Source organism: Homo sapiens, chromosome 5 (genome assembly GCF_000001405.40).
Source record: "Homo sapiens chromosome 5, GRCh38.p14 Primary Assembly".
Lineage (NCBI taxonomy): Eukaryota > Metazoa > Chordata > Mammalia > Primates > Hominidae > Homo > Homo sapiens.
This window is the reverse complement of record NC_000005.10, coordinates 140,150,516-140,177,180: the sequence shown is the minus strand read 5'-3', so window position 1 is coordinate 140,177,180 and position 26,665 is coordinate 140,150,516. Positions and strand designations below refer to the sequence as shown.

At 48.2% G+C, this 26,665-nt stretch overlaps 1 protein-coding gene and 2 long non-coding RNA genes across 5 annotated transcripts in view, besides 4 other annotated features; 1 reads left to right on the top strand and 2 right to left on the bottom strand.

The window, feature by feature from the left end:
- CYSTM1 (cysteine rich transmembrane module containing 1) overlaps window positions 1-1,993 on the bottom strand; it is a 68,602-nt gene extending 66,609 nt beyond the window's left edge. The window contains exon 1 of the mRNA NM_032412.4: window positions 1,896-1,993. The gene's annotated coding sequence lies outside the window, so the exon portion shown is untranslated. The remainder of the gene's footprint in view (window positions 1-1,895) is intronic.
- Window positions 1,606-1,895: a silencer, noted in NCBI's record as "silent region_16446". NCBI's record gives its function as "represses an Ori minimal core promoter by ATAC-STARR-seq in GM12878 lymphoblastoid cells {active_cell/tissue: GM12878}" and the evidence as "EXISTENCE:reporter gene assay evidence [ECO:0000049][PMID:35858748]".
- Window positions 2,186-2,415: an enhancer, noted in NCBI's record as "active region_23262". NCBI's record gives its function as "activates an Ori minimal core promoter by ATAC-STARR-seq in GM12878 lymphoblastoid cells {active_cell/tissue: GM12878}" and the evidence as "EXISTENCE:reporter gene assay evidence [ECO:0000049][PMID:35858748]".
- Window positions 7,181-7,376: a silencer, noted in NCBI's record as "fragment chr5:139549390-139549585 (GRCh37/hg19 assembly coordinates)". NCBI's record gives its function as "represses an EF-1alpha promoter that drives an FKBP-Casp9 reporter gene in an ReSE screen in phorbol 12-myristate 13-acetate-treated (for megakaryocytic differentiation) K562 erythroleukemia cells {active_cell/tissue: K562(+PMA)}" and the evidence as "EXISTENCE:reporter gene assay evidence [ECO:0000049][PMID:32094911]".
- Window positions 8,396-19,862, bottom strand: LOC101929719 (uncharacterized). The gene is made up of 5 exons (NR_130738.1): window positions 19,823-19,862; window positions 12,369-12,531; window positions 9,708-9,816; window positions 9,379-9,500; window positions 8,396-8,544 (listed from the first exon to the last, which is right to left on the bottom strand). It is a non-coding gene; the product is annotated as an uncharacterized LOC101929719 (long non-coding RNA).
- On the top strand, window positions 19,721-25,106 carry LOC124901086 (uncharacterized). 3 transcript variants are annotated; one of them, XR_007058964.1, is made up of 4 exons: window positions 19,721-19,873; window positions 20,817-21,031; window positions 23,055-23,126; window positions 25,028-25,106. It is a non-coding gene; the product is annotated as an uncharacterized LOC124901086 (long non-coding RNA). The 3 variants fall into 3 exon arrangements; XR_007058965.1 differs by lacking the exon at window positions 25,028-25,106 and adding an exon at window positions 24,490-24,554; XR_007058966.1 differs by lacking the exon at window positions 25,028-25,106 and adding an exon at window positions 23,580-23,650.
- Window positions 22,511-23,170: an enhancer, noted in NCBI's record as "H3K27ac-H3K4me1 hESC enhancer chr5:139533596-139534255 (GRCh37/hg19 assembly coordinates)". NCBI's record gives its function as "activates a minimal SCP1, AML or CMV promoter by ChIP-STARR-seq in primed H9 embryonic stem cells {active_cell/tissue: H9 hESC(primed)}" and the evidence as "EXISTENCE:reporter gene assay evidence [ECO:0000049][PMID:30033119]".
- Window positions 25,107-26,665: the final 1,559 nt, after the last annotated feature.

Genomic DNA, 26,665 nt, shown 5'->3' with positions numbered 1-26,665 from the left:
TCCTGTTGCTCAGGAAATTAAGACAAAATAGCCAACTAACACTTACGCAGCCTTACACGGAGAAACTCAAAGCTGGCAGGAAAGGACTAGAGATTTTTTTTTTTTTTTTTTTGAGACAGAGTCTCGCTCTGTCGCCCAGGCTGGAGTGCAGTGGCGCAGCCTCGGCTCACTGCAAGCTCCACCTCCCGGGTTCACGCCATTCTCCTGCCTCAGCCTCCCGTGTAGCTGGGATTACAGGCGCCCGCCACCACGCCCGGCTTATTTTTTATATTTTTAGTAGAGACGGGGTTTCACCGTGTTAGTCAGGATGGTCTCGATCTCCTGACCTCGTGATCCGTCCGCCTCGGCCTCCCAAAGTGCTGGGATTACAGGTGTGAGCCACCGCACCAGGCCAGGTCTAGAGATCTTTGATCTACAATCAACAAATAGTATGGGACTCCTTTCAGCGAATCCAATGCCCCACATGAATGTTTGGATGCTGGTTCTCCTTTAATAACTTCCCCCTATTAAATCTCTTACCAGTCATTTGGGGTTTGGGTTTCACCCTAGGGATACAAGGTGTTTGTAAGTCACTCTGAAACCTCTGAAGGGCAAAGTGTTGTGGACGCTATAATCTCCCTGCATACTGAGGGGGGCATAGCTCCCAACCAGTCATTAAATCCCGTCAAATGAGATACTCGAAAATGAGCTGCCCTTGGGTGGGTCCTTTCATAAAAAGGAATTTTTAAAAATCTGCTAACATGGTTACTCCACAAAGTTTACATGTATCATATTGTATAAATCTATAAATATGTACAATTATTTTTTGTTTAATTTCTAAAAATTTGCCAACAATGGCTGAAAAAGGCACCTGGCTGCCTGAGCCCCTACCCTTGTCGGTTACAAGTATTTCATAAGCAGGGTTTGAGGAATCCCATCAGAGAAGAGTGTTGTCACCTTTTTGCCGGAATGTCACACCAACTTCCTCAGTGTTCCCCTCACACCAACTTCCTCAGTGTTCCCCCTACCCCAATCTAGCCAACGTTTCAATGGCTCCCCACAGCACACAGTGCCTCTCAGGTGGGCACTCAAGGGTCCTTTCCTAATCCTCCCTAACCTAATTCTCCAAACTTTTTTTCCCCCAAAACAGCCCAGCAGACGGTCCAGTCAGTCCCCAAATCGTTTTTCCTCATGGTCTCCTTCCCCAGGGGTCCTCCCCTCCTTCTCTCCCCCCTGCAACCTCCACTGCTACCGGGAGATTAGTTCCCACCCGTCAGGACCCCGCTCAGATTTCACTTCCTCCAACAGGTCCGCTCAGATCCCAATCCACGGCTCTCAACAGCAGCCGGGATTCCTTTCCCCCGCAACGCCTTCTCTGAACACCCCGGCCTCCGAGCGCCGGCTTTGCGTTCCCTAGTTACTTCCAGTCACTAGTTACTTCCGCTCCGCTCCCACCCGCGGGACTCGCGACCTGCCCCCTGCCCCCGGCTGGCCCAGCTCGGAATAGGCAGAGCAGCGCCTCAGAAATCGCAGCCCAAGGCGAAGAAATCCAGAAGCCTCCCGCGGACGTCCCCCGGGACGGGGTGTGGCGAGCCCCGCTCCGAGCCCGCCGACTCCTCGTGAGACGAGAACCGCAGCGACGCGGAGACCCTGTGAGTCCACCGCCGAGACGCGCGGCGCGGCGACCAGGAGCCCCAGAGTAGCCGCGGGGCGCCGGGAGGGATCCAGCTGGCGGCAGCAGCTTCCCTGCCTCCCTGCCCCTCCCCAGGGGCTGCGCGAACCCCTGCCTGAGCCAGGCCAGCCCGGGTGCCCCCCAGTTCTCAGGGCGCTCCCCAGGGAGCCCGGGGACGCGCCCTGTCCGTGCCTGATCCCCGCCCTGGTCCCAGCTGGGTCGGGCCAGGTCCGCTGCACCTCACCTCTCCTCTCCACGAACCGACTGGATAACGGTCGGGTCTGAACCTGAGGAGCCCGGACCAGCCCGCAGTAGACTTGCCGCACCTGTCTCAGAGCAAGTGAGGAGCAGCCGGGCGCCTGACGTCACGGCCGCTCCCAGCGCCGCGAACCGGGAGTCACCTGATCACCCTGGCAACGCGCGCGGCGCGGGGCGAGGCGAGGCTTGCGTCACAGCACGAGCCCCGCCCCCAACTGCTCGGCCTCCAAGCGCCGCCGGAAGCGCTCTCTTGCAGTCGGCGCAGTCGGGAGGCGGGGTCGGTCTCCGACTTCCCAACGTGGGCCTCCCAGCTGCGCTGGATACTTAGGACTCCCACAGGCGTCCCCCTCAGATTGGATTGGTTCTCCGAGACTCCACCCGATACCCCAACTCCGCTAGTTCAGGCGCCTGGGAGGCAAGACCAGCGTCCATGCGGAACCCTGCTCAGTGCGTGGCATGAGGGGTCGGCTGTGGGCTGCTGCCTCCTCGTGTCTTGTTGGTCCAGACCCAACTAGGGTTGGGGGCTTACTTCCCGAGCTGTACCTGAGCGGAATGGGGCTGAGGCTGATAACTGGATTGCTCTCTGGCTACTTTTCCCCATAAACCTTGCAACAAGTAGTCCCGCCAGTACTTTAGAGTGTAATGAGACTTCATTCACATCAGGAGGGGGAAGGGGGACAGAATCTTCTGTCCTGAAGGTTTCCTTCTTCTGTTCCAACAGGAAGAGAAGTTACCGAAAAGCTCCCAGAGCAAGGCCTAGAATGAGCTTGCAAGTCCTACTTGCAAAAAATTTTTTATTTTTCATTTTAGAAATTGATTTTCTCTCCATATTCCTCCCCTTGCTTGCTATTAGGTTGGTGCAAAAGTAATTGTGGTTTTTGCATTTTTTTTTTAAATGGCAAAAACAGCAATTACTTTTGCACCACTCTAATATAAGTATATGCCTACAACTTTTGTTACTCTCTAGGCTTCCCAGATAAGACTATCAGCTTCGAAATGAAAATTTAACATCCCCTGGAGGTCTCAGTGTGAGAGTCACTGCCTATTTCACACCTTCACTATTTGCTGACTTTCATTTCAGTTTTACTCTCCTCATCCCTGCACTGCCAAGAAGGTTTCATATGTATTGAAACCTTCCCTCTCAAGAGTTTAGGATCTTAGACCAAGAAGTTAGTTTATAGTCAACTTCTTGTGAGCATCTTTTAGTGTCAGGCAATGGGCCATGGGCAGATTGAGATGTGGTTCTCGAAGATCAAACGTGTATGGGTGGTATGTCTCACATAAGTACAACTTGTACTGTTTATTATGACTTAATCATTGTATTTAAGTGGCACTTTTTAATTTTCACACTTAAAGAAACTCATATAAGTGGGAAAGAAGACAGCTGTGAAAGGTAGAGAAGAACCATGGCTCTAGACAGAGCTGTACTAATAGGAGAGAAGAGATTGAAAATGTGAGCCCAGGTCCCAAGGAGCACAGAGGCATGGTCAGAAGGTTGGTAGGAACAGGACAGAGGCAGCCAGGCCTGAGGTGTTTGGCAGATCTGAGGAGGGCAGGGATAGAGGGTGAGGGGAGGAGTGGGGCCAGAATGAGGCTTGAGGGATTCAATGGAGGGCGAAAGTGCTGGGAAGGGAGGAGGGATTGGAAAGAAAGGAGAAGTATGCAGTGGTTTGGGAAGGAGTTGCTGAAAGGGAGGGCAGGGTAAATAGAGACCCAGGAAAGGGTGCTAAGAGCATTAAGAGAAGGGAGGCTGAGAGGCTACAAAAAAGGACTGAGGGGGAGGAAGAAGCAGGTGGGAGACTCTGGGGCAGCAAACATCTCAGAACCAGTCAGTAGGTGGTGTCCTTCAGAGGCTGTTGGAGAAGAGCAGCATTGTCTGTTTGCCTCTGAAGAGTGAAGGTGATCCATGCACACCCCAAACTACCTCTGGACCATCTGAGGGTAAGAGCCACCCTTTGCAGAGCACTAATGCAGAGGGAAGAGCAGAAACAGGCACGTCCATAACTACACCCTGATAGTACTCAAGGCAGTCAGGCTTTTTGGCTGGACAGTTTTTCAGGCCTGTGGTACATGCCTCCGTGCCTCTAATCTGGGCAGGGCAAGGTGAGGATGGAGTGGAAGGCAGGGGTAATTCCCTTAGAAGGGAGGCAAGCTTCTCATGGCAGCTGGGTCATATGAAGGCTGTGCTAGGGAAGAAAAGATGCTAGGACACATTCTCAGTACGCTCCCTGACCACTCCCCTTTTACTGAGTTGGTAGGGTGAGGGCGTAACCATCGAAGGAAAAATAGAACATTCCTCACCCCCACCTCCACATCCATGCTGAGGAAAGTGTTATTATGTGGGTAAAAACTCAAGGAGTGTTGCTGACAGCATCCAAGAACAGAGATGAGGCCAGGGAATGCATCTCACATGGCTCTTTTCTAAGATTTTGACCTCAGGTCCCAGGACTAAGCAGCAGGCCAGATGTAGAAGTTGCTGGAGTTTCATCAGGTGTCTTCACAACAGCAGTGTGGGTTTCCATTCCTGGAAATAAAAGAAAAATGTCAGGGTACAAGGTCCTGGCCAAGCATATTTGCTGTGAAAGTCCATTAGTCACAGAAGTAACAATGAATTTTCAATATTTGTTCATTCGGGAGAACTGTCCAAGGACTGTGGAGGCAACATGGTGCAGTCGTTGGGAGCCTGTGTTCTGAGATTTATCCATTTTGTGAACTTGGCCAAGTTACTCACCTTCTTTGAGTCTCTGCCTTATCTGTAAAATAGAGATAATAATACCTACCTCACAAGACTATCATAAACTTTAGGTGAATTCCAGGGCAAAGAAAGAGAACCCAGATTCGTAATATTTTTTAAAGGGCCATTTTTTAAACCATTGTATTTTTATTGGACCACATTTGTTCTCTGAACAACTGGATGAAAGAATGTTTCTTGGATGCCTAATGTACACTCAAGACTGATGGATACAGAAGGAGCATGTGCCCTGGCTTGGTCAGGCATCCAATTTCTGATGGGAAGATAAGACAGTGTGAGACCTTGCCAGGCTGCTGTGAAATTGAATGCTAAACTATGTCATGTCCTTCCATGCCCGCAGCGTTCATGGAAAGAGGGGCCATGCCAGCTGCATTGGCTAAGGTGGGATACATGAAAGGAAGGGTCTGTAGCAGAGCCTTGAAAGATAGGATTGGCCAGGCACAGTGGCTCACGCCTGTAATCCCAGCACTTTGGGAGGCCAAGGTGGGTGGATCACTTGAGGTCAGGAGTTCAAGACCAGCCTAGCCAACATGGTGAAACCCCATCTCTATTAAAAGTACAAAAAGTAGCCAGGCGTCATGGCGCATGCCTGTAATCCCAGCTGCTCAGGAGGCTGAGGCAGAAGAATCGCCTGAACCTAGGAGGTGGAGGTTGCCATGAGCCAAGATTGTGCCACTGCGCTCCAGCCTGGGCAACAGAGCGAGACTCCATCACAGAGAAACAAAACAAAACAAAAAACAAAGACAAAAACAAAAAAAAGATAGGATTTGGAGAGGTGGTAGGTGAGGAGAACATTCTGGGTCAGGGCGGTGATCTGAGCAGCCGGGGCAGGGGCTCAGTAAATATTCACTGGCTAGATGAATGAATGAATGAGCAAAGATAATAATGAAATTATCAGCATAGTGTAAGATCAGCCACGCTTTGTTGAATGAATGGATGCATGATTAAACAAAAAAAGCAAAGACAATGAAATTAGGTAATGGTGGGCATAGCTGTAAGACCAGCCTAACTGAACCGTGGAAACTGGGGAGTTGTGGGAAATAAGATAGAGATGGAGCAGACTGTGGGAGAGCTTTTGAGACAGTAGAATCTTCTGGGAGGAGCATGGAGTCTGGATCCAGAGGGACAGGATTGCATTTGGACTCCATCACCACATATTGACCATGTGACTTTGAGTGAGTTACTTAATCTTTCTGTGCATTGGTTTCCTCGTCCAAAAAATATAGGAATAAGATTGATATCTGCTTTATAGTGTCACTTTGAAGATGAACTGAGCAACCTATGAAATGTAAGCATGATGCCTGGCCCATTGTAAGTGCCTTAAACTTAGTTTTTATTATTAGTTTTATTAAGGACTGAGCAGATGAGAATAGATTCAATATGAAAACTTAGGGAACCACTGAAGTTCCTTGAAGTGGGAAATGAGAATGGAATGCAGTGTTTGGGAAGAATCACTTGGCAGAAGTATTCAGGCTGGGTCAGAAGGCAATGGTGTAGCCCCAAAGGGTGAAGAAGGGCTGACCAGGGACTAGAAGCAACCCCTCCTGAAAATGAGAAAGCCTGTCCACTTGCTGGTACATGGCATGCACAGGCACTCAGTAACTCTACTGAATGAAAGTCTGCACCAATTGAACAATATAATTGTGGAGCTCCCAGGCTCAATCGCAAATACTATCAGAATTCTCCCTCAGTCAAGTATAGAGAGGTTTAAAGCACTGGAGAAGTTCACTGAGACTTGGCCTCTGGTTCATTTCAATTTCTCCCCCGAGTAGCTGGGACTACAGGTGCACACCACCGCAGCCAGCTAATTTGTGTGTGTGTGTGTGTGTGTGTGTGTGTGTGTGTGTGTGTGTGTGTGTGTGTGTTTTGTTTTGTTTTTTTTGTAGAGACAGGTTTCACCATGTTGCCCAGGCTGGTCTTGAACTCTGGGCTCAAGTGATCTACCCACCTCAGCCTCTCAAAGTGCTGGGATTACAAGCATAAGCCACTGCACCCGGCCCTTCTGGCTCTTTTTCTGATCTATGTTTTCAAATTCCAATTTGCTTGTCAGGAATTTCTCCACTGCAAGTGCTGAAGCACTATTCAAATCAGCTTAAAGAGGGAGAGATAATGTATTGGCTCATGAAGCCAAAAATCCAGGGATGAGTCTGATTTTCAGGTATAGCTGGATCCAGGCACTCAAACACTGTCACCAGGATTCTCCCCTTTCTCTTTCTCAGCTCTTTTCTTTGCATGTCTTCATTCTCAGATAATCCTTCTGATGGTATCAGAATTTCATTCTCACAGTGAAAAGTCTCAGCAGACAAAAGGCTTTCTCTTTCCTAATAATACTAAGAAAAGCTCTAGAATGGAGCTTAGTTTTTATTTTTTAAGTTTTTATTTATTTATTTATTTATTTATTTGTTTATTTATTTGAGGCAGAGTCTCGTTCTGTAACCGAGGCTGGAGTGCAGTGGCATGATATTGGCTCACTGCAACCTCTGCCTCCTGGGTTCAAGCAATTCTCCTGCCTCAGCCTCCCGAGTAGCTGGGATTACAGGTATACCCCACCACGCCCAGCTAATTTTTTTGTATTTTTATTAAAGACAGGGTTTCACCATGTTAGCCAGGCTAGACTTGAACTCCCGACCTCAAGTGATCCACCTGTCTCGGCCTCCCAAAGTGGTGGGATTACAGGCATGAGTTACCGCGCCCTGTCAGGAGCTTAGTTGGGTAACTTGCTTTTCTCCTGAATGTGTGGCCGTAGCCAGGGCATGTAACACATTGGCTGGTTCCATGTTCTCTTCTGGAGCTGGGGGTGAACACAGCCTCCCCCAAATCCCACAGTTGAAAGTGTGGAAGAATGGCTTCCCAAGGAAAATTCAAGTTTAGTTACCAGAAGTAGGAGGAATGGATGCTGAGCAAACAAAAAACACAACTGACCCCTACAGGCCACCAATACTGAAACCACAAGCTTCCTGAAAGCTCCTCCTATTGAAAGGTTCTGTAATGTAATACAGCTATGAACCTGTGAATTCATAGGCTTGAATTCACTTGGAAATCAACTTACCTTCTCTTGTATTTCCAGAAAAGTTGTATCTAATGAGAAGCAAATTCTGGCACTCAGAGGTTGAGCCATGTTGATATCATTGCATAGAACCTGCCATTGGTTTTACCTAAATGCACTCTCCTTTCTGGAAGTACTACTTCTGAGGAAAGGGCATCAGGGAGCACTTAATGCTTTAAATGTGTTTGTACAGCAACTTGCGTTCTCAAGAGGTATCACATAAATGCATGTGTTTTTAATTTTGACTTGATTCCTGAAGTAGCCTGGCCTTCTGATAGTGATCTTAGAAAATCAACCTAGAAGAAGAATACATTTTTCTCCCAGGCTGTGAGTCAAATGACTATGGCAATGAAGTTCCGTCAACTATGAAGCATCCTTCTGCTTTTTAATCTTTTCAGTAATTAAGAAAATAAATTCAACACATATAAATTAGAAATAATCAGCTTATAAGTCTATTTGCATTTATATTTTTAAAATGGACCGATGACTTAGCACATGACATAAGAAAATAAGTCAGGGAAATATTAAATCCACATATTCATTCAACACATTTACTGAGGGCCTATGGCCTACCATGTGCCAGGGACTGCTCTAGGCCCTGGGGATGTAGAAATAAGCAAAACAGATTTTTTAAAGTCCTTGTGCATATGAAGCTTACATTCTAGTAGGTGTGTCCATTTATATACAGTCTTCAAGTCTCTGTGCCATTGACAAGAACTAGTACTATATACCAGGAAGCATGCATGGCGAATCCTCAGATTCCTCTATGCTAGGCTTTCTGCCAGTGCTCTGCATACATCATCTCATTATTCTCTTCTTCCTAAGAGATGTAGACACCTGTTCAAGGAGCCACAGGAAATGAGTGGTAGGGTCAAGACCAGAACACCTATATCTATATCTGCCTTTTAGCTCATATTTTCTCTTGGGGTGTGGTTGCGGGGGATGGTGGGAAGTGGTAGGGACTGAGGCATATCAGATAACATGCTCTGTGCAAAGGGAGCACTACTCATTCAGATCCAGCCACTTGACATTCAGGAATATAACTCAATGTGGCCAAGTTTTCTGATTTTTCAAGAGAAGCCAGCAAACAGGATTTTGACATGAAAACCAATTTCAAAATACCATGAAAGCCAAACCAAATTTGTCTGGGTACAACTAAGGCTACAGATCTGCCCCTCTGTTAGAGGTCATGCTGTGACCAGGAGGGTGCCTGGGGAGGTAGGATTCCAGATAGCAACCTTGAAACTAGTTGGCCAGCCGGGCACAGTGGCTCATGCCTGTAATCCCAGCACTTTGGGAGTCCAAGGCAGTTGATCATTTGAGGTCAGGAGTTCAAGACCAGCCTGGCCAACATGGTGAAACACCATCTCTACTGAAAATACAAAAAATTAGGTGGACGTGGTGGTACACAACTGTAATGCCAGCTACTCGGGAGGCTGAGGCAGGAGAATCACTTGAACCTGGGAGGTGGAGGCTGCAGTGAGCCAAGATCATGCCACTGCACTCCAGCCTGGGCAACTCTATCTCAAAAAACAAACAAACAAAAAACAACGAAAAACCCCAGAAACTAAATGTGTGTAGAAAACTGCAAATACATCTGTGGTACTTACACAAAGTGTTTCTCAGGTTGATTTTCAAAGACTAAGGTAGAAAAATGGGGCCCTTATTTACCAAAAAAGCAAAGTCCTTTAATGAAAGCTACCAGGGAGGCAGCAGCTGGGGCGCTCCAACACCTAGCCATGGAGGAGGTTGGCATGGAACCATCTGATGCTGGGCTGACAGGCCACGCTTCTCTGAAAAGGAAAATTTAACTTCAGGGTGGGCTTCATGTTACATCTGAGGCCCTAATAATGATCATTATGCTGTCAGCACACAAGACATGGTTCAAAAAAATTCTCCTCCTTAAAGTCACATTCTATGTGCTTTCTGGTCCTTCCTAACCTCCTCCACCCTGTGGCCTCCCACACTCAACACAACTTTCCTTTTCCCCACCCACTTGCCAAGGAACTGCGGCCATCAGACAACATATGGAGGTCTCATCACCGGGATGGTCCGTAACTGGAAAGGAGTTGGTCATCTGGTGTTAGCAGCTCCTCTTTGTGTCGTAGCCTTTGGAAGGAAAGAGGGAGGAACACAGAATAGCGTCCATGTTTAAAAAACATTTGCACCATCAACAGACTGAAACTCTACAAGACAGTGGTCTTACTTTAAAAGTGTAAAGGAATTCCCATCCTCTTGATCTTAGCAAGATCAGAAAACCTCTGTTTACTACAAGAATTGTTTCAGAAAGGGAAGTGAAATCTGGCACATGAAAAATCCCATTTCTATCCACTCTCAAGATAGTAACTTTGTAGCCATATGCCATGTGTATTTCATCATAGCAAAACAGTACTGTAGTGCACTGGGGACAGATTTGCTGCCACTGCTGCTGCTGCTGCTGCTGCTGCCATCACCACCTCCACCACCTCCTTCTGTTGCTTGGATAAAGCTGAGGCATGTGGCACTGTTGTGAGATTCTTAGAAGATACAGGCAAGTAGTCCTGGCTAGGACCCTACAATTGAGTTTGCACCATGAGGCTCTAAATCTCAGCCTCTCTAGGTCCTGGTACTGTATCTTTGGAAGACACACACAGGAAGGACTTAGATACCTTCTGAAAAAGATGGGACAAAGAAAGCTTATACTCCTCCTCTCCCCTCCTCTTGCTTGGAAGATCATTTAAGATTAAGAGATGAAGTGACTTTTCCCACTGAAGGGGACACAGGGCAATGCTATGATTCGGAGTGTCCAGAGGCCTGTGTTCCAGCCATGGTTCCCCTATGTCCTCACCTTGGGACCCAGCACTACTTACTCCACCTTTTTGAGTCTCAGTTTCCCCATCTAAGAAATGGGAATAATAATAGGACCAACCACATAGAGCTGTTGTGAGGGTTAATTCATTGAGATGCTGAATGGTAAGAGAGGCTTCCTTTGCACAGAGCTTGTTCTCTAGTTTACTGCAGCCTCCAGTAATCCCCTTCCTGCCTCCCTGTCTGCACCCTAGGAGAAGGTACAGGTTAAAAGACAGATCTATGGTCCGATCATGGCCCCATCTCTTATTTCTGTGGCTCCTTGGACTGGTGATCAGGAGTCATTTTTCTGCATGATGACCAGGGCCACTCCACTGCAATTCTTTAGCTGCAGCAGTGGAGACACACACTACCTTTGTTCCCAGTGCATCCAGGTCCTTATTTTAGATGCTACCTTCGATTCTCTGAGCTGCTTCAGCCACAGTCCAGATGAGAGTGTGCTTGTCCTGCCCCCTCCCCTCCCCAGCCTGGAAGGTATGGAGTCCACCCGCATCAGAGTGGAGAGTGTCACTTTTTATGTATGCAGATTCCTGGGCTTCATCCTAGACCTATCACTTCTGAATCCCTGGGAGCCAGGGCCTAGGAGCCTTCAGGTGTGACAAGCCCTCCAAGAGAACAGATGCGCATGAAAGTATTTATGGCCCTCTGGGGCCTCAAGATCTGGAGAGCTTTGCCTCAATCGGGAGAGTCCTAGTCACTGCTTAGCAGAGTTTGGCTCTACTCCCTGCCCCGCCCACCCCTGCTCAGTCCCAGGCCCAGTCCCCCATTATCTCACACTAGAACCAGTGGCCTTGCTCTCTGCCTGCCAATCTGGAGATCTTGATCTGAAGTGTCAACCTGGCCCTGATACTTCCTGACTATAAATTCTGCAGGGGTTTCCCATTCCCTGCAGGATCAAGTCTGACAAAGCATTCAAAGCCACTCTCTTCAGCCTCAGATCTCCTGCCACTCCCTCTCCTAGTTGGGAACACTCCAACTAGGCTTATATTATGCTGAGGTCTCTGAATGTTCCCTGAGGCTACATGTCTCTGAGCTTCTGTAGGCACAGTACCCTCCACCAGAATGACCTTTCCCCTCTTCTACTACTCTTCCAGTCTCAGCCGAAATGTCACCTCCTCTGGGAAGCCTTCTCAGATGTCCCTAATGCCTACTACTCCTCTTTCCCTGTACACTCCCCAAATATATCACCCATGACCCTGAATTGCCTTTATTTGCTTATGTGTTTCCGCCCCACAAAACTATGAGGGATTTGCATTTTATTCATATCAAATTCCACAACTTTATCAGGGCTGATAAGGCTTGGCATGATCTGGCTCCCATCCACCTCTCCACCCTGTCCCCCACCATTCTCTGCCCCACCTACTTCACGCAGTCACTGTGGCCTGCTGACTGTTTCCAAGCTCAACAAGCTCTTTCCTGATCCTGTTCCTGTAGTGCTGTTTGCCTGGAATGCTCCCCATCGATCTTGCCATAGCTGGCTCCCTCTTGACATCCAGATCTTGCTCAAATGTCACCTTTTCAAGGCCAGCCAATCAAAATAGTTTTGTTTGTTCTAGAACTTCATTTAAATGTAATAATATGCTATGTATGCTTCTATCTGGCATCTTTCAGTATAAAGTTTTCGAGTTGTATTCATGTTGTAGCACTTACCACTACTTTGTTCCTTTTTATTACTGAGTAGTAAGCCATTGTATGAATATACCACAATTTATCTGTTCACCTGTTGATGGATACTTGGGATATTTCCAGTTTTTGGTTATTATGAATACAGCTGCTCTGACATTTTTCATGTACTAATCTTTGTGCAGACATACATTTTTATTTCCTTTGGATAAATACTTGTCTTAGTCCATTTGGTGGTGTTGTAACAGAATACTTGAGATGGGTCATTTATAAAAAGGTGTAGCTCACAGTTCTGCAGACTGGGAAGTTCAAGTGGCAGTGGCATCCACTCGGCTTCTGGTGAGGGCTTTTGTCCTGGGTCAAAACATGGCAGAAAAGGTTAAAGGGGAAGCAGACGTATGCAAAGAGAGATCAAACAGGAGGAGAAACTTCACTTTATTACAACCCCTTGCTCAGGAACTAATACATTCCTTGAGAATTGATCCAGTCTCTTGAGAACAACAACAACAACAAGAAAACACTCTACTAGGACAACAGCACCAACCTATTTTCATAAGGGATTCACCCCTATGATCCAAGCACCTCCCACTAGGCCTTACCTCCCCAGTGGACAGAACTGGCAAGCAAACTTCAACATGAGTTTTGACACAGACAAATCACATCCCAACCATACCTATAATGGAGATTGCTGGGCATTGGTAAGTATATGTTTAACTTTATAAGACACCACCAAACTTTTTTCCAAGTGACTGTTCCAGTTCACACTCCTGCCAGCAATATATAAGAGTTCCAGTTGTTCCACATCGTCACCAACACGTTATTACCGATTCTCCTAAAGTTTAGCCATTCTAGTGAGTGTGTGATGTTATCTCATTGTGATTTTAATTTACATTTCCCTAATGGCTAATAATGTTGAACAACTTTTCATGTGTGTTTATTGGATGTTTGTATATCTTCTTTTTGAGGTATTTGTTAAATTTTTTTTGCCCATATTTTATTTTGGTTGGGGTCTTACTATTGAGTTATTAGATTTCTTTATATGTTCCAGATAGAAATCTTTTGTCAAAAGTATGTATTACAAAACCTTCTCCTAGTGTATGACTTACCTATTTATCTTTTTAATGCTGTCTTTTTCCTCCTTTTATAGTAAGTTCTTTCTATGATCTCTGCCTACCCCACCATCATGAAGAATTTCTTCTTTCTTTCTTTCTTTTTTTTTTTTTTGAGATGGAGTTTTGCTCTTATTGCCCAGGCTAGAGTGCAGTGGCACAATCTCGGCTCACTGCAACCTCTGCCTTCCGGTTTCAAGCAATTCTCCTGCCTTAGCCTCCCAAGTCACTGGGATTACAGGCGCCTGCCACCATGCCCAGCTAATTGTTTTTGTATTTTTAGTAGAGACGGGGTTTCACCATGTTGGTCAGGCTGTTCTCGAACTGCTGACCTCGTGATCCACCCACCTCGGCTTCCCAAAGTGCTGGGATTACAGGCATGAGCCACCGTGCCTGGCAGAATTTCTTTCTTCCAGAAGTTTTATAGTTTTTTTTTTAATAGTTCTTTGATTTATTTTGAGTATGGTATGAAGTAAGGATTGAAATGCATTGCATTCCATATGGATATTCAGTTATTCCAACACCATCTGTTGAAAAGTCCATCTCTTTACCTGTAGTTATTTAAATTTTGTTGTATTGGTCTCTCCTACTAGTCTATAAGTTTCATATATTGTTCTAATGTAACCTGGGCTCTTCTCTATCCCTGCTACCTTCTTACAGGTAGAGAAAGCAGAGAAAGAGCATGCTTGCAAGTTAATTCAGGACATGATCCCAGGGAGCAGGAATAGGGGACTGGGGAGACTCATGAAGTAGGAACAAGGGAAAGCCAGTGCCATGGTGTGTTATAGAGCTGGTCACCACTGTGGGCAGCTGGGGCTTGACCCAGCTGGGATGTGATGAGGAGCAGTGTAGAGTGCACCTCCTAGTTGTCCACTGAGTGTCAGAGAAGAAAGCACATAGCCACCAACCCCAGCCGCCAAGGGCCCAGGGTTACTCCCAAGGGGTTAACATCCTCAGACATCCAGTTTGCAGTACTGGAGTCCAGGGAGAAGCCCCAGCAGAAGGCAAGAGCAGAGCCGTGTGGAGCAGCTGAGCCTCGGTGCGTTTACCTGCTCCAAGCTGGTTGCCACAGTGATGGCTGAGTAAAACGTGGGCCAAAAGGATGACAGGAGGGTTACAAGAGGTTTCCCATACACATTCATTCCACAAATATTATTTCCTTCTATATGCCAAGCACTGTGTTAAGCACTGGAGATAGCCATCAAAAAGCCAAGCCCTGTCCTTATAGGGAGACAGACAGGACGCAAGTCAACAATTGATATAATATTATATCAAGGAGAAATAAGTGCTATGAAGAAAATAAAACAGGATAAGGGAACCGAGGGTGAGCGCAGGGATGGGGCTCATTTTGACCACCAGGGAAGGCCTCTGAGGAGCTGACATTAGACAGAACCAAATGAGGAACTGAGCCATGTGTATACCCAGGGCAAGAACATTCCAGGTGGAGGGAACCGCAGGTGAAAGACTTGAGGGAGGAACAAGCTTAGGGCATTAGAGAAACAAGGAAGTCACTGTGGCTGGAGCAGAGTGAGGGGAAGAGGCATAAGAGATCAGGAGAGGCAGCCTGGCAGGCCCTTTGAGTTTGAATTTTATTCTGAGTGTGATGGGAAGCCACTCGAAGTATTTAAGAAAGGTTATAGGCCGGGCACAGTGGCTCATGCCTGTAGTCCCAGCACTTTGGGAGGCTGAGGTGGGCAAATTGCTTGAGCTCAGGAGATTGAGACACACCTGGGCAGCATGGTGAAACCCCATCTCTAAAAAAATACAACCCCAAAACCCCAAAATTAGCTGGGTGTGGCAGTGTGCACCTGTAGTCCCAGCTACTTGTGAGGCTGAGAGGCTGAGGTGGGAGGATTACTTGAGCCCAGGAGGTTGAGGCTGCAGTGAGCTATGATCACACCACTGCACTCCAGCCTGGGCAACAGAGCAAAACCCTGTCTCAAAAAAAAAAAAAAAAAAAAAAAAAAGAGGGTTATGACCTGGTCTTATTTATGTTTTAAAAGTCATGTGGGTGAGACCGGCCTGGCCAACATGGTAAAACCCAGTCTACTAAAAATACAAAAATTAGCCAGGCATGGTGGCACACACCTGTAGTCCCAGCTATTTAAGAGGCTGAGGCAGGAAAATCGCTTGAACCCAGGAGGTGGAGGTTGCAGTGAGCCAAGATTGCGCCACTGCACTCCAGCCTGTGCGACAGAGTGAAACGCTGCCAAAAAGAAAAAAATTATGTGGGGTACCATTACACACCTATAGTGGGGCAGGGCTAAAATCCTAAACACAAAAACAAAAGAAGCGGTAATATCCAGTGCTGGCAGGGATCCAAAGAAACTGCAGCTTTCACACTGCTGGTGGGAATGCAAAATTTGTATAGTCAGTTTGCAAGAGTTTGGCTATTTCTCATAAATATGCCCTTACCATACAACCCAGCAATCCCACTTGTAGGTATTTTCCCACAGTGAAATGATACTTCTGTTCACACAAAAACCTGTACACAAATGTTTATAGTGACTTTATAATTGTCCAACAACTGGAAACAATTCAAATGTGTTTCAACTGGTAAATGTATAAACTGTATAAACTGTGGTACAGCCATATAAAAAGGAATGAACTATTGGTAATGTGTGCAACAACTTCAAGGGACCTTGAGGGTGTTATTCTTGGTGGAAAAATTCAATATAAAAATGTTAGATACAGACCAAGGCAGGCGGATCACAAGGTCAAGAGATTGAGACCATCCTGGCCAACACAGTGAAACCCCATCTCTACTACAAATACAAAAAATAGCTGGGCGTGGTGGTGCGCACCTGTAATCCCAGCTACTTGGGAGGCTGAGGCAGGAGAACTGCTTGAACCCGGGAGGCGGGGGTTGCAGTGAGCCAAGATTGCACCACTGCACTCCAGCCTGGAGACAGAGCAAGACTCCGTCTCAAAAAAAAAAAAAAAAAAAAAGAAAAAAGAAAAAATGTTAGATAACTATGTGATTTCCTGTATATAACGATCTCAAAATGACAAAACGACAGAGATGGAGAACACATTCATGGTTGCCAGGGGATAGAAAGAGAGACAAGGAGGAATGAAGTGGGAGTGGATGTGAATGCAAAGAAGTGTCACTAGTGAGTTATTCTGTGGTGATGTAACAGCTATCTGTCTTGGTTGTGGTGGTAGTTACATGAATCTACACATGGGATAAAAGAGCACAGATACACACACACACGTAAATGAATGCAGGTGAAAACGAAATAATGTCTGTAGCCTAGTTGATAGTAGGTTGGTGCAAAAGTAATTGCGGTTTTTACCACTACCTTCAATGGCAAAAACTAAAATTACTTTTAAGTAATAAGATGTCACCACGGGGGGACACTGGAAGAAGGGTACAGGAGACTATTATTTTTGCAACTTCGTATGAATCTATAATTATTTCAAAATCAAAAGTTTAGAAATACAACTAATGGATAAAAAAACTATAAAAGGCTTTTTTTTTTTAACTGGGATAGTTTGCAAATGGATGAGCATTAGATGACATTTGGGAATTATTGTCAACTTTCTTAGGTGTGATAATATATGCTTATCACATGTCCATACATTCTTAGGTGGTATATGTTAAAGTTTTAGAGGTAAAGTGTCAAAGTGTCTACAACTTATCTGCAAATTGTTCAGCAAATATATGCCTATGTATATACATAATTTTAAAATATGGCAAAACACAGGCAATACAGAGGGACCAGCAACAGCTCCAGGAAGTGGCATCTGGATGCTTCCACAGAGGCCCAGGTAAAGTCATCTACCTTTCTTCTGAGACTTATAAATCAAAACCAAACTTTCTTCCCCATGGTGGAAAGACTAGCTCCTTTTGTTTCTTTTTGAAAAAAGAAAGATGTTGGTAATTTCCTTTGCAAACTTAAAATGCTAAATAAACATGACACTTTGTTTTACAATATAATAATAACTATTATTTATTAGGGGCTTTCTCAACGCCAGGTCCCTTTTCAGGCACTATGCCATCCTTATAGCAATTGAATGCAGTAGCTATTTTTAGTAGCCCCATTGTACAAGTGAGGAAGCTGAGGCTCAGAAAGGTGGGATGACTTGCCCTTGGCTGCACCCTAGGGTGCTCTGATGCTTACCTGCTCCACAGGAGGCCTCTTTCAGAGTCCTCCTCCTCCCCTTCAGCCACTAGCTCTACCCCTACCTAGGGACAGCCTTTATGTAGAGTCACTGTGGGTCCAGCAGCACCATTCAGGCCATGGATGTCTTTCTCTGGCTGAGAATGGGAAGGTTCTCTGTCTCTGCAGTGGGGTGAGTGGTTGCATCTAGGTCAAATATGGGAGGGAAAAGAAGGGGATGGAGTGAGGGACCTGGAGGGAAGAGGGAGAACATGCAGAAAACACCGGATGCTCTTTATAGCTTCTTCAAAAAACAAAGGCATTAGGGAACACAGGTTTTTATCAGTCTGTTAGGAGGAAGGAGGGAGAAGGGGGAGTAGAGGTTGTGAAGGATGTCTATTCAGATGTCAGAATTAGGTCTGGGGCCCAGTGATAATGACAATAAAGATGGTAATGATGACAACAATAATAGCAGACACTGTGTGCCAAGTGCAGTGCTAAACACAGCACACTAATTATCTCAGGCAGCCTTCTCAGGAACTCTACAGTTTACTATCTTTGTCATCCCAATTTTCAGATTAGAAAACTGAGGCCCACAAAGTAATACCAAATTATACATTTTCTTTTCCTTTTTTTGAGACAGAGTTGCACTCTTGTTGCCCAGGCTGGAGTGCAATGGTGCAATCTCAGCTCTCCGTAACCTCCGTCTCCCGGGTTCAAGTGATTCTCCTGCCTCAGCCTCCTGAGTAGCTGGGATTACAGGCATGCGCCACCACGCCCGGCTAATATTGTATTTTTAGTAGAGATGGGGGGTTTCTCCATGTTGGTCAGGCTGGTCTTGAACTCCTGACCTCAGGTGATCTGCCGGCCTCAGCCTCCCAAAGTGCTGGGATTATAGGCGTGAGCTTACACATTTTCATATGTACACACTCGAATATAAATACAATTGAATGAGGTCAGTGTACACATTGACACTAACTACACAACAACACAAACTAACAACAGTAGGTACCTGAGGAAGGGTGAGTGTGGTCAAGGGGGGAGCTTCAGCTTTTCATTGTATTGCGCGATTTTTTTTACAGTGGGAATGTGTAACCATGCCTGTGACATTTCTTTTAAAAAGTGGGTGATGCTGAAGACTGTGTCCAAGGATCCCAGAACTAATTTGGGGCCACACCTCACACACTGCACATCCCAGGCCTTGACCACGAGGCTGCACAGCCTTTCAAAGGGAGACCCGTGCCTGCCTCATTTTTTTTTTTTTTTTTGAGACGGAGTCTTGCAGTGTTGCCCAGGCTGGAGTGCAGTGGCGCGATATAGGCTCACTGAAAGCTCCACCTCCTGGGTTCACGCCATTCTCCTGCCTCAGCCTCCCGAGTAGCTGGGACTACAGGCGCCCGCCACCACGCCTGGCTAATTTTTTGTATTTTTAGTAGAGACAGGGTTTCACCGTGTTAGCCAGGATGATCTTGATCTCCTGACCTCGTGATCCGCCCGCCTCGGCCTCCCAAAGTGCTGGGATTACAGGCGTGAGCCACCGCGCCTGGCTTTTTTTTTTTTTTGAGACGGAGTCTCACTCTGTCGCCCAAGCTGGAGTGCAGCGGCGCTATCCCAGCTCCCTGCAGCCTCCACCTCCCGGGTTCAAGCGATTCTCCTGCCTCAGCCTCCCGAGTAGCTGGGATTACAGGCATGCGCCACCACACCCGAGTTTTTTTTTTTTTTTTTTTTTTGAGACGGAGTCTTGCTCTGTCGCCCAGGCTGGAGTGCAGTGGCGCGATCTAGGCTCACTGCAACCTCTGCCTCCCGGGTTCAAGCGATTCTCTTGCCTCAGCCTCCCAAGTAGCTGGGATTACAGGCACGCGCCACTATGCCCGGCTAATTTTTTTTTTTTTTTGTATTTTTAGTAGAGACGAGGTTTCACCATGTTGGCCAGTCCTGTCTCCAACTCCTGGCCTCAAGTGATTCGCCCGCCTCGGCCTCCCAAAGTGCTGGGATTACAGGCGTGAGCCCCCGCGCCCGGCCTGCCCCCACACTTGGATGGTAGAGAGGAAGGAGGAAACGACTTCTCAGAGGCGTCGGCCCCTTGCCCTATCCGTCTTCCCTGGGTCTCCTGGGGGATTGGGCCAGCCGGGAGTCCCGGAGCTGGGCAAGTGTCCAGCCCCGGAGCCCGCCCACTGTCACGGAGCGGACTCCCGTCCAATCAGACCCGGGTGATGCCACTCCGGAGATGAGAGTGGCAGGAAATCAAGGTCAAGGCCCTGGTCACAATGGGGCCATTGTCGTTCTCCAGTCAGTTGACTTTCAAGCAGCCGTTCCCCATCCACCCTTCACTCTTTCTCCCACCCCCACCCCCCGCCCCCTGTCAGGAAGTCACCCAAACCTATTGCCTCCGTATTAGACTCTGCCTGAAGGAAGCCGCTTTCTGGATCCTACCCCAGACGCTGGAGGCTGGGCTGCTGCGGCATCGTCTATTAGGTCCACCAGGTGGCGACAGAGCACCACATTTCTGAGTGCAGGGAGGGAGGCCCGGGGCTGGCGGCTCAATCACTGATCAGGGCGTGGGGGAACCCTGCCCTTCCTGTTTTATCCAAGAGAAACAAAAAACCAAGTCAGATTATACTTTCCCTCACCCTTTACTCTGAGGTCACAGGAATCTGGAATCTTAGGGACTCTTCCCTTAGCAAACGGCAAAATGGCCGTGGGTTGCAGCCCTATTTTTTTTCCTTGAATGGGGGTGGAAAACCAAGGGGAAACCTATTTACTCCGGAAGTCACAGCAAGTGGAACCCTGACTGCCTCTCTAGCCTGCATTAATCAATTGGCTGATTGATGGGTTGTGTTAGTGTATAAACGTCACGTCTGAAAGGACTTCCCTGGTCCCCCAGTCTAAATTATGCCTTCCCTGTTCTCCCTCAGAGCCAGCTTTAGTTTTCCTTCTTTGCATGTATCCGTTTGTAACTGGACACATTTGTTTGATTATTTTCCACTAGAATATACTCTGCGAGAGCAGGGACTGGGTCTAGTTTTGTTGCATTAATTTGTCCACTAAGGACAATACAGTAGAGTATCTGGCACATAGTAGGTATTCAGTAATACCTAATACTGATAATATTATAAACATAATAAATGAAGGAGTGCCCAATTGAGCAATGCGGGTGGAGGTGGGCTTCTGGTCCCTGAGAATTCAGCATGTGTGAATTCAGGTAGGCCCACTTAGCAGGCTGCACCTGGCCCAAACTATCACATTAGAGAGGCAGGCCCCAGAGGCAGAAAAGCTTTGAGGTTAAGACATCTGGTCTGGGCTCTAGCCACCTGGCTTCACGATCTCATTGTCCCCTCATGTGGTGGGCGACTTTGCACGCATCAACCTTTCCGAGCTTGTCTCCTCATTTGCAAAATGGGGACAAACATGGCATTTATCTTCTAAGGCCACTGTGAGGGTTCTGAGAGAGAATTCATGGAAGATGCTTAGCCCAGGGCTGGGGACCCAGTAAGCACTCCGGGAATATTCGTCATTACTATTATTACTATTATTGCTGCTGCTGTTGCTGCTACTACTACTACTGCTGCTGCTGCTGCTGTTGGAGAAAGAACCTTCACTGAGGCTGTATAGCCCAAGTGCTCCAGGCAGGTACCAGCTGAGGTGAGGGGTCTGGGGCTGAGAGGATATTCCATTGGTACCTGCCCCTTGGCAGTTCTCTGGGTTTGATTTCTCTTATCAACTGGTCCAGGAAGCTGAGGCTGGTAGGGCCTGTTCCTCTCTCCTGGTGGCAGAGGTCAGATCTGTCTCTGCTGCAATCGCTGCTGGGGGGACATCCTCTTAGCCTTCCTGGGACACTGTGGGCCCAGGCAAGCCCATTAGTTAATTCCTTTGTTTAACAGGCATGGTGCTTTACCAGGTCCTGGGGATGGTGGTGAATAGAGTCATCTTCTCCCTGTTCACAAGAAGCACATGGGGTTGGAGCACAGGGGGAGATGTTAATCAAAGCAAAATGGGGGAAAAGGGCATTTTTTTTTAACTGTGATAGGGGACAGGGCCTGGTCTACGACATTCCCTGAGGAAGTGACTTCTGGACTGGGAGCTGAAGGAGGAGGAAGAGGAGCTATCCAAGAAAATCCCTCCCTTAAAGCAACCAGCCCTGGGGAATGCTGTGATGACCCAACCGGTCCTCAGGCTCTTCCTGGCCCAGTCAAATGGTCAGATGGGAGAAGATTAAAAACCAACACACCCTAAGTACACAGGCTCCTCCTGGGGTCTACTGCCCCCACTAGCGTTACCTGGACACATATACACACAATGTCAAGTCGCAGCCCCTAACCCTGGCCCCAGCCCTGGGGGAAGAGGAAAAGTCTTAGGGAGGTGGCCAGGAGAAGTTGCCATGGGTTCAAAAAGGCCTGGGATGAAGGGATCCTGGGATGACTCCCTGGGGTCAGCATTCTGGGTGGGATAGGGTGCAAACCCGTGGTTCCAGGCAACCAGACGCACCAGCCACCAGCACGTCAGGGGAGCTGAGAGCATAAGCTATGTTATCTGGGTCCTGGGCACGTATCGCAGCTCTAAGGCTTGGCAGCTTTGGCAAATTTCTTCACCTAAGCCTCAGTTTGCTTGCCTATAAAATGGGAGCAATAATAATAACACCAACCTCATCGAGTGTTTTGGGGGACTTAGTGAGATAATACACGAAACGTCCTGGCACATAATGGGCACTTGACAAACATTAGTGTTATTATGTATTCTTTCTTTTTTTGAGACAAAGTTTTGCTCTTGTTGCCCAGGCTGAAGTGCAGTGGTGCAATCTCGGCTCACCGCAACCACCGCCTCCTGGGTTCAAGCAATTCTCCTGCCTCAGCCTCTCGAGTAGCTGGGATTACAGGCATGTGCCACCACGCCCAGCTAATTACAGGCATGTGCCACCACGCCCAGCTAATTTTGTATTTTTAGTACAGACGGGGTTTCTCCACGTTGGTCAGGCTGGTCTCGAACTCCCAACCTCAGGTTATCCACCCGCCTCAGCCTCCCAAACTGCTGGGATTACAGGCGGGAGCTACCGTGCCCGGACTATATATTCTTTTATATAGGCCTTTATCTTTTATAGCTCCTTTGTCACAGGATTCTGCCAGTTTGGAGATAAGGAACCTGAGACCCAGAGAGGTGAACTAACTTGCTTAGGGTCCCACAGTTAAAAAGCAGAGGAGTCGGGATTTGAAGCCAAGTTTCTTTGACTGCAAAGCCTGTGCTCCTAGGAGGTGAGGGAGGGAAGAGATCAGTGGCTGCCTGGGAAGAAGCTGGGCTCCTGTTCAGTCATATTTTCATGGATTCAACAGATGGGTGTAAATCTTTCTGGGGCTGAGGGTGGAGTACACATCCTCTTTTTCTAAATGTGGGAGTCAGGCAGGGCTCCCGCTGGTCCCAGTTGCCCCAGCCATGATGGAGGCAGAGCAAGCAGGAGTGGGGAGGAAGAGAAAGCCACTCGGGGCAGGGAGTAACTGAGTCCCAGGGGCTTGGAGTTGGGCTGAGGCCACTAACGGAGCCCTGGCAAGTCTTTCTTGCCAGCCTGAGCCACAAATCTCTGCTCACTCTCACCCCTAGGAGTTTGTGGCGCCCCCTCCCTTTCCCACCTCAGCCTGGGACCCCTCCTTTCTCTCCTCCTCCCTCCTGAATGCAGTAATCCCAGCTAACAAAAGCGACCATGGCTACTCTGACGTGTGGGACGACGATGCTAGCCAGGCCGTGCCAGGTCAGTATGCCAAGCTGGGCTCAGGCCCCTTCCCACGTGCCAGGGTGCACTGGCCCTGCTGTCTGCTCCCTCCCCATGAAAACCCAAGCAGCCCTCATTTTTGAGACAATGGAATTAAACAGCTATGGGACAGGTGGAAGTAGGGGGCTGTGAGAGTAGGGAAAAAGTAGAACCTTCCTGAGCCTGTCCTGCCTCCTCTCCAGCTCTGGAAGGATGGGCTGCAGACCAGGGCTTGAGAAGGAAGAGGTCAGATGGGTTGCAGAGTGCAAAAAGGACTGCCCTAATTAGAGGCCTCTTAAATTCTCTGAGCCTCAGTTGCCTCATTTGTTAAATGGAATTAATAAACTCTCCTGAGGTTTGGTTGGATTAAAAAAGATAATGAATGAAAAATACTTAAGCACAGGGCCGGACACATAGCAAGCACTGGATAAATGATCTCCCTTGCCGCTGCAGGGGCTGCTGGTGCTGTTACTGATGCAAATTCTGAGCCGTGGCCACGCACACTTTGGCTGGCCTCCAGGGGACGGTCAGCTAGGTCCGCTGGGGAACCTTCCTCCCTGCCTGGTCCCACTAATGATGACACCAGGTCCTTGGGCCTGATGCAAGAAGATCAGATGTCCTGCAAGGGAGAGTCACCATCTCCTACCTCATCCCCGGCACCCCACCCCCACCTTACCAGAATGCAAGGTGTCCTGGCTAGCCTGCAAGGTGGGATGGGGACCCTTTAGCTACAGGCTGCCTGATTTCTCCTCCCTTCCTCTCACTGCTTCTCTGCCTTTAACTTTTCTCTTTGCCAATGCCAGAGACCTGCTTTCTTATGCCAAGGAGAGAGAGAGAGGAGGAGGGAGGGGGCTGGGGGAGGGGTGAGGAGATGGAGGAAGCGCTCCAGTGCATAAAGAGGAAGGGGCTTCCTTCCGCTCTCTGTCTTTTCATTGTCAAGTTGAAATTGGTGACATTGGGTAGTATATTTAAGACATCTGTCCCCATGCCCTGCCACTCCCTTAGGAAAAGAGCTGCTCTCTGTTTGCGTAATAGAAGAATAGAAGCTTTAATAAAAGTTTTATTAAATAAAAGAAGCTTAATAAATAAAAACTATTACACAACAACAGAGTCTGCGGTCCCATTGGCCACCTGACCACTCACTTCCGGACTGGGGGCTGTTGTGCCCATATCCTGGCCTGTGTCCTTCCGCTCTGTGGGGCGCAGGACAGGGCTGGACCTGGTAGAGGCAACAGTGCAGGCTTGGGCCCGGGCTGGGGCTGAAATCCTGACCCTCGGCCCTTTTGGATAATAGCAGCCTGAGCAGGGGGTCCTTGAGAACTGGGATCACCAAAGTCCTGGTCCTGAGGCAGGATCTTTTCAGTCCCTCCCACAGGTGGGGCCACCCCTCTGCCCCACCAAGTTGCCCCAGAAGCTGGAGAGGAAAAAACTCTGGGTCTCCAGACAACGGTCTGGAGAATCCTTGAGGATCTGGAAGTCCCCGCTGCTGCCTGGCCTGGTGAGAGAGCAGGCTGCCCCCCACCCGCCCCCCTACCCAAAAGTGGCAGGCACCCTGGGTGGAGTTCGGCCCCAATGTGTGGAGCCTCCGGAGCTCGCTGATCTGAGCTGCGATTAGGTTGGAATGTTCCCGGTCCAGTTCGCAGCGATGTGGTTGTGCTGGCCTAGGGAGATTGTCCGAGGGTCTGGCTGTGCCAGGTTCCTCCTGCCTTAAGGGCCTGTGATTTCTGGCCAGCCCACCCACAGGACTCCCCTCTTGCCTCTGCCTACCGCACCCACCTTTCTTAGCAGCCCTCACATGCCTTAGGCCCCCCGGGGCCTTGCTCATTTGTCCCCTCTGCCTGAAAGCCCTCCCCTACACCCGTCATCCCTCTTGCCTCACTTATTTCTATTCTGTCTTTCAGACCCCTCCAGGGAGCCTTGCTGACCCCTCCACGACTCAAGCTGCATTGGCTGCCCCTCCGCTGCACTCTCCAAGTTCCCTGTGCTCCTGGATCTGGCACGCATTATGCTGTCTCCAGAGTACTTGTGTTGCAAAGTGTCTGTCCCCTCTCATCACTTCAGCTGCCTATGGATAGGGATGGTGTCATCTCTGAGCCTTGATTCATAAGACCTGCATGGGGCAGATGCTCACATTGAATGGACCAATGAGTGGTGGTTACACTGTTTACCTGCGGGTGGAGTGGGGAGACTTCCTGTTAGCAAGTGCTTTTCCCACACTTGAGACTGCCTCTCTCCTCTCTAAGTCCTGGATTTTAGGCCTCCTTCCCCTTCTACCCAAGCTCACCCCCCCTTGTCATAACCTGATGAGGGCTGAGGGAGGTGGTACAGGAGATGAGTTAAGTGTGGGGCCACTTGCCAGCTAAGAACCCTTGACCCAAGTTTCCTTTTCTGGAAAACAGACAATAACAGCACCTTCTTAGAGTGGCTATAAGGACATAACAAGCCCCTTCCCTCCCCCTGTCCACACTCAACAAGGGGCTCTATTCTTTCCTGAAGGTCTGTGGTTGCCTCCGGAGGCTGGAGGGCAGCTCTGGAGTCTGGCTTGGCTTTCTATTTGCAACCATTCCATATCCCTTGTCCCCACCCCACTCCCTCCCTAGGGCCACACCTCTCCACAATGCGGAAGCCATGGGGTACTCTGGGATTTATGTCCGTGGTGTGTAGGGGAAACTCCTGGAACAAATGAGCGGCTGTGCACGTGGTTGTGTTTGGTTTTGGACTCAGAGGGCACCTCTGGTTTTATGGGTCTGTCCTTGGTCTTATGCTGGCTGCCTGCCAGGTTCCAGGGGTCCACATCCCTGGAATCACTACCTAGGCCCAAGGTGGGGAGCAGAGACCGATAACCCAGGTGTCTGGGGTTATTAGCCATCAGAAACATGGAACCTGACAGCAGGAGAGTGGCCACCACTTTGCCCTGACATCTGGAGGCCTTACTGCCCCACCCTCAGGTCATCATCCCCAAGGCCTGGCAGATATTTGTGTGAAGACAGAAGGAATTTGGGTGAGGGCAGAGACCAGCATGGCACCCACCCTTTTCCTCCAATGCCCCTCCCTCTCCCAGCTCAGGGGCTTAGGAGTGTGGTATGCAGCGGGGATGGAGGGTATGAACCCTAGAAGCAGACCGGCCTCAATTTTAATCCTAACTAGCTGTATTGTGTGACCTTGGGCAAGTGACTCCATTTTTCTGAGCCTCATTTCATAAGCTATAAAATGGGGATAACAACAGCACATATCTTTTAGAGAGTTGTAAGGATTAAACAATTAAATGGGATTAAATAACGAATTAATTTTAAAGGATTATATAATAAAATTCATGCATGTACACAGTGAACAGTAAATGGTAGTATTACTCTTATTATCTGTCCCTTGCTGCGTTTCAAGCATCTATCCAGGATACTTTAATGTTGTCCAACCTAACAGAGTCTGAATTTGTTTAACATTTACAGTACCTTAGAGAGGAGCTCAGTGAGCTCAAATGAGACGAGAAAGGTAGCCACTGGGTTCTGAGCAGGGTCTGCCACCCCTTTCTGGACCCCACC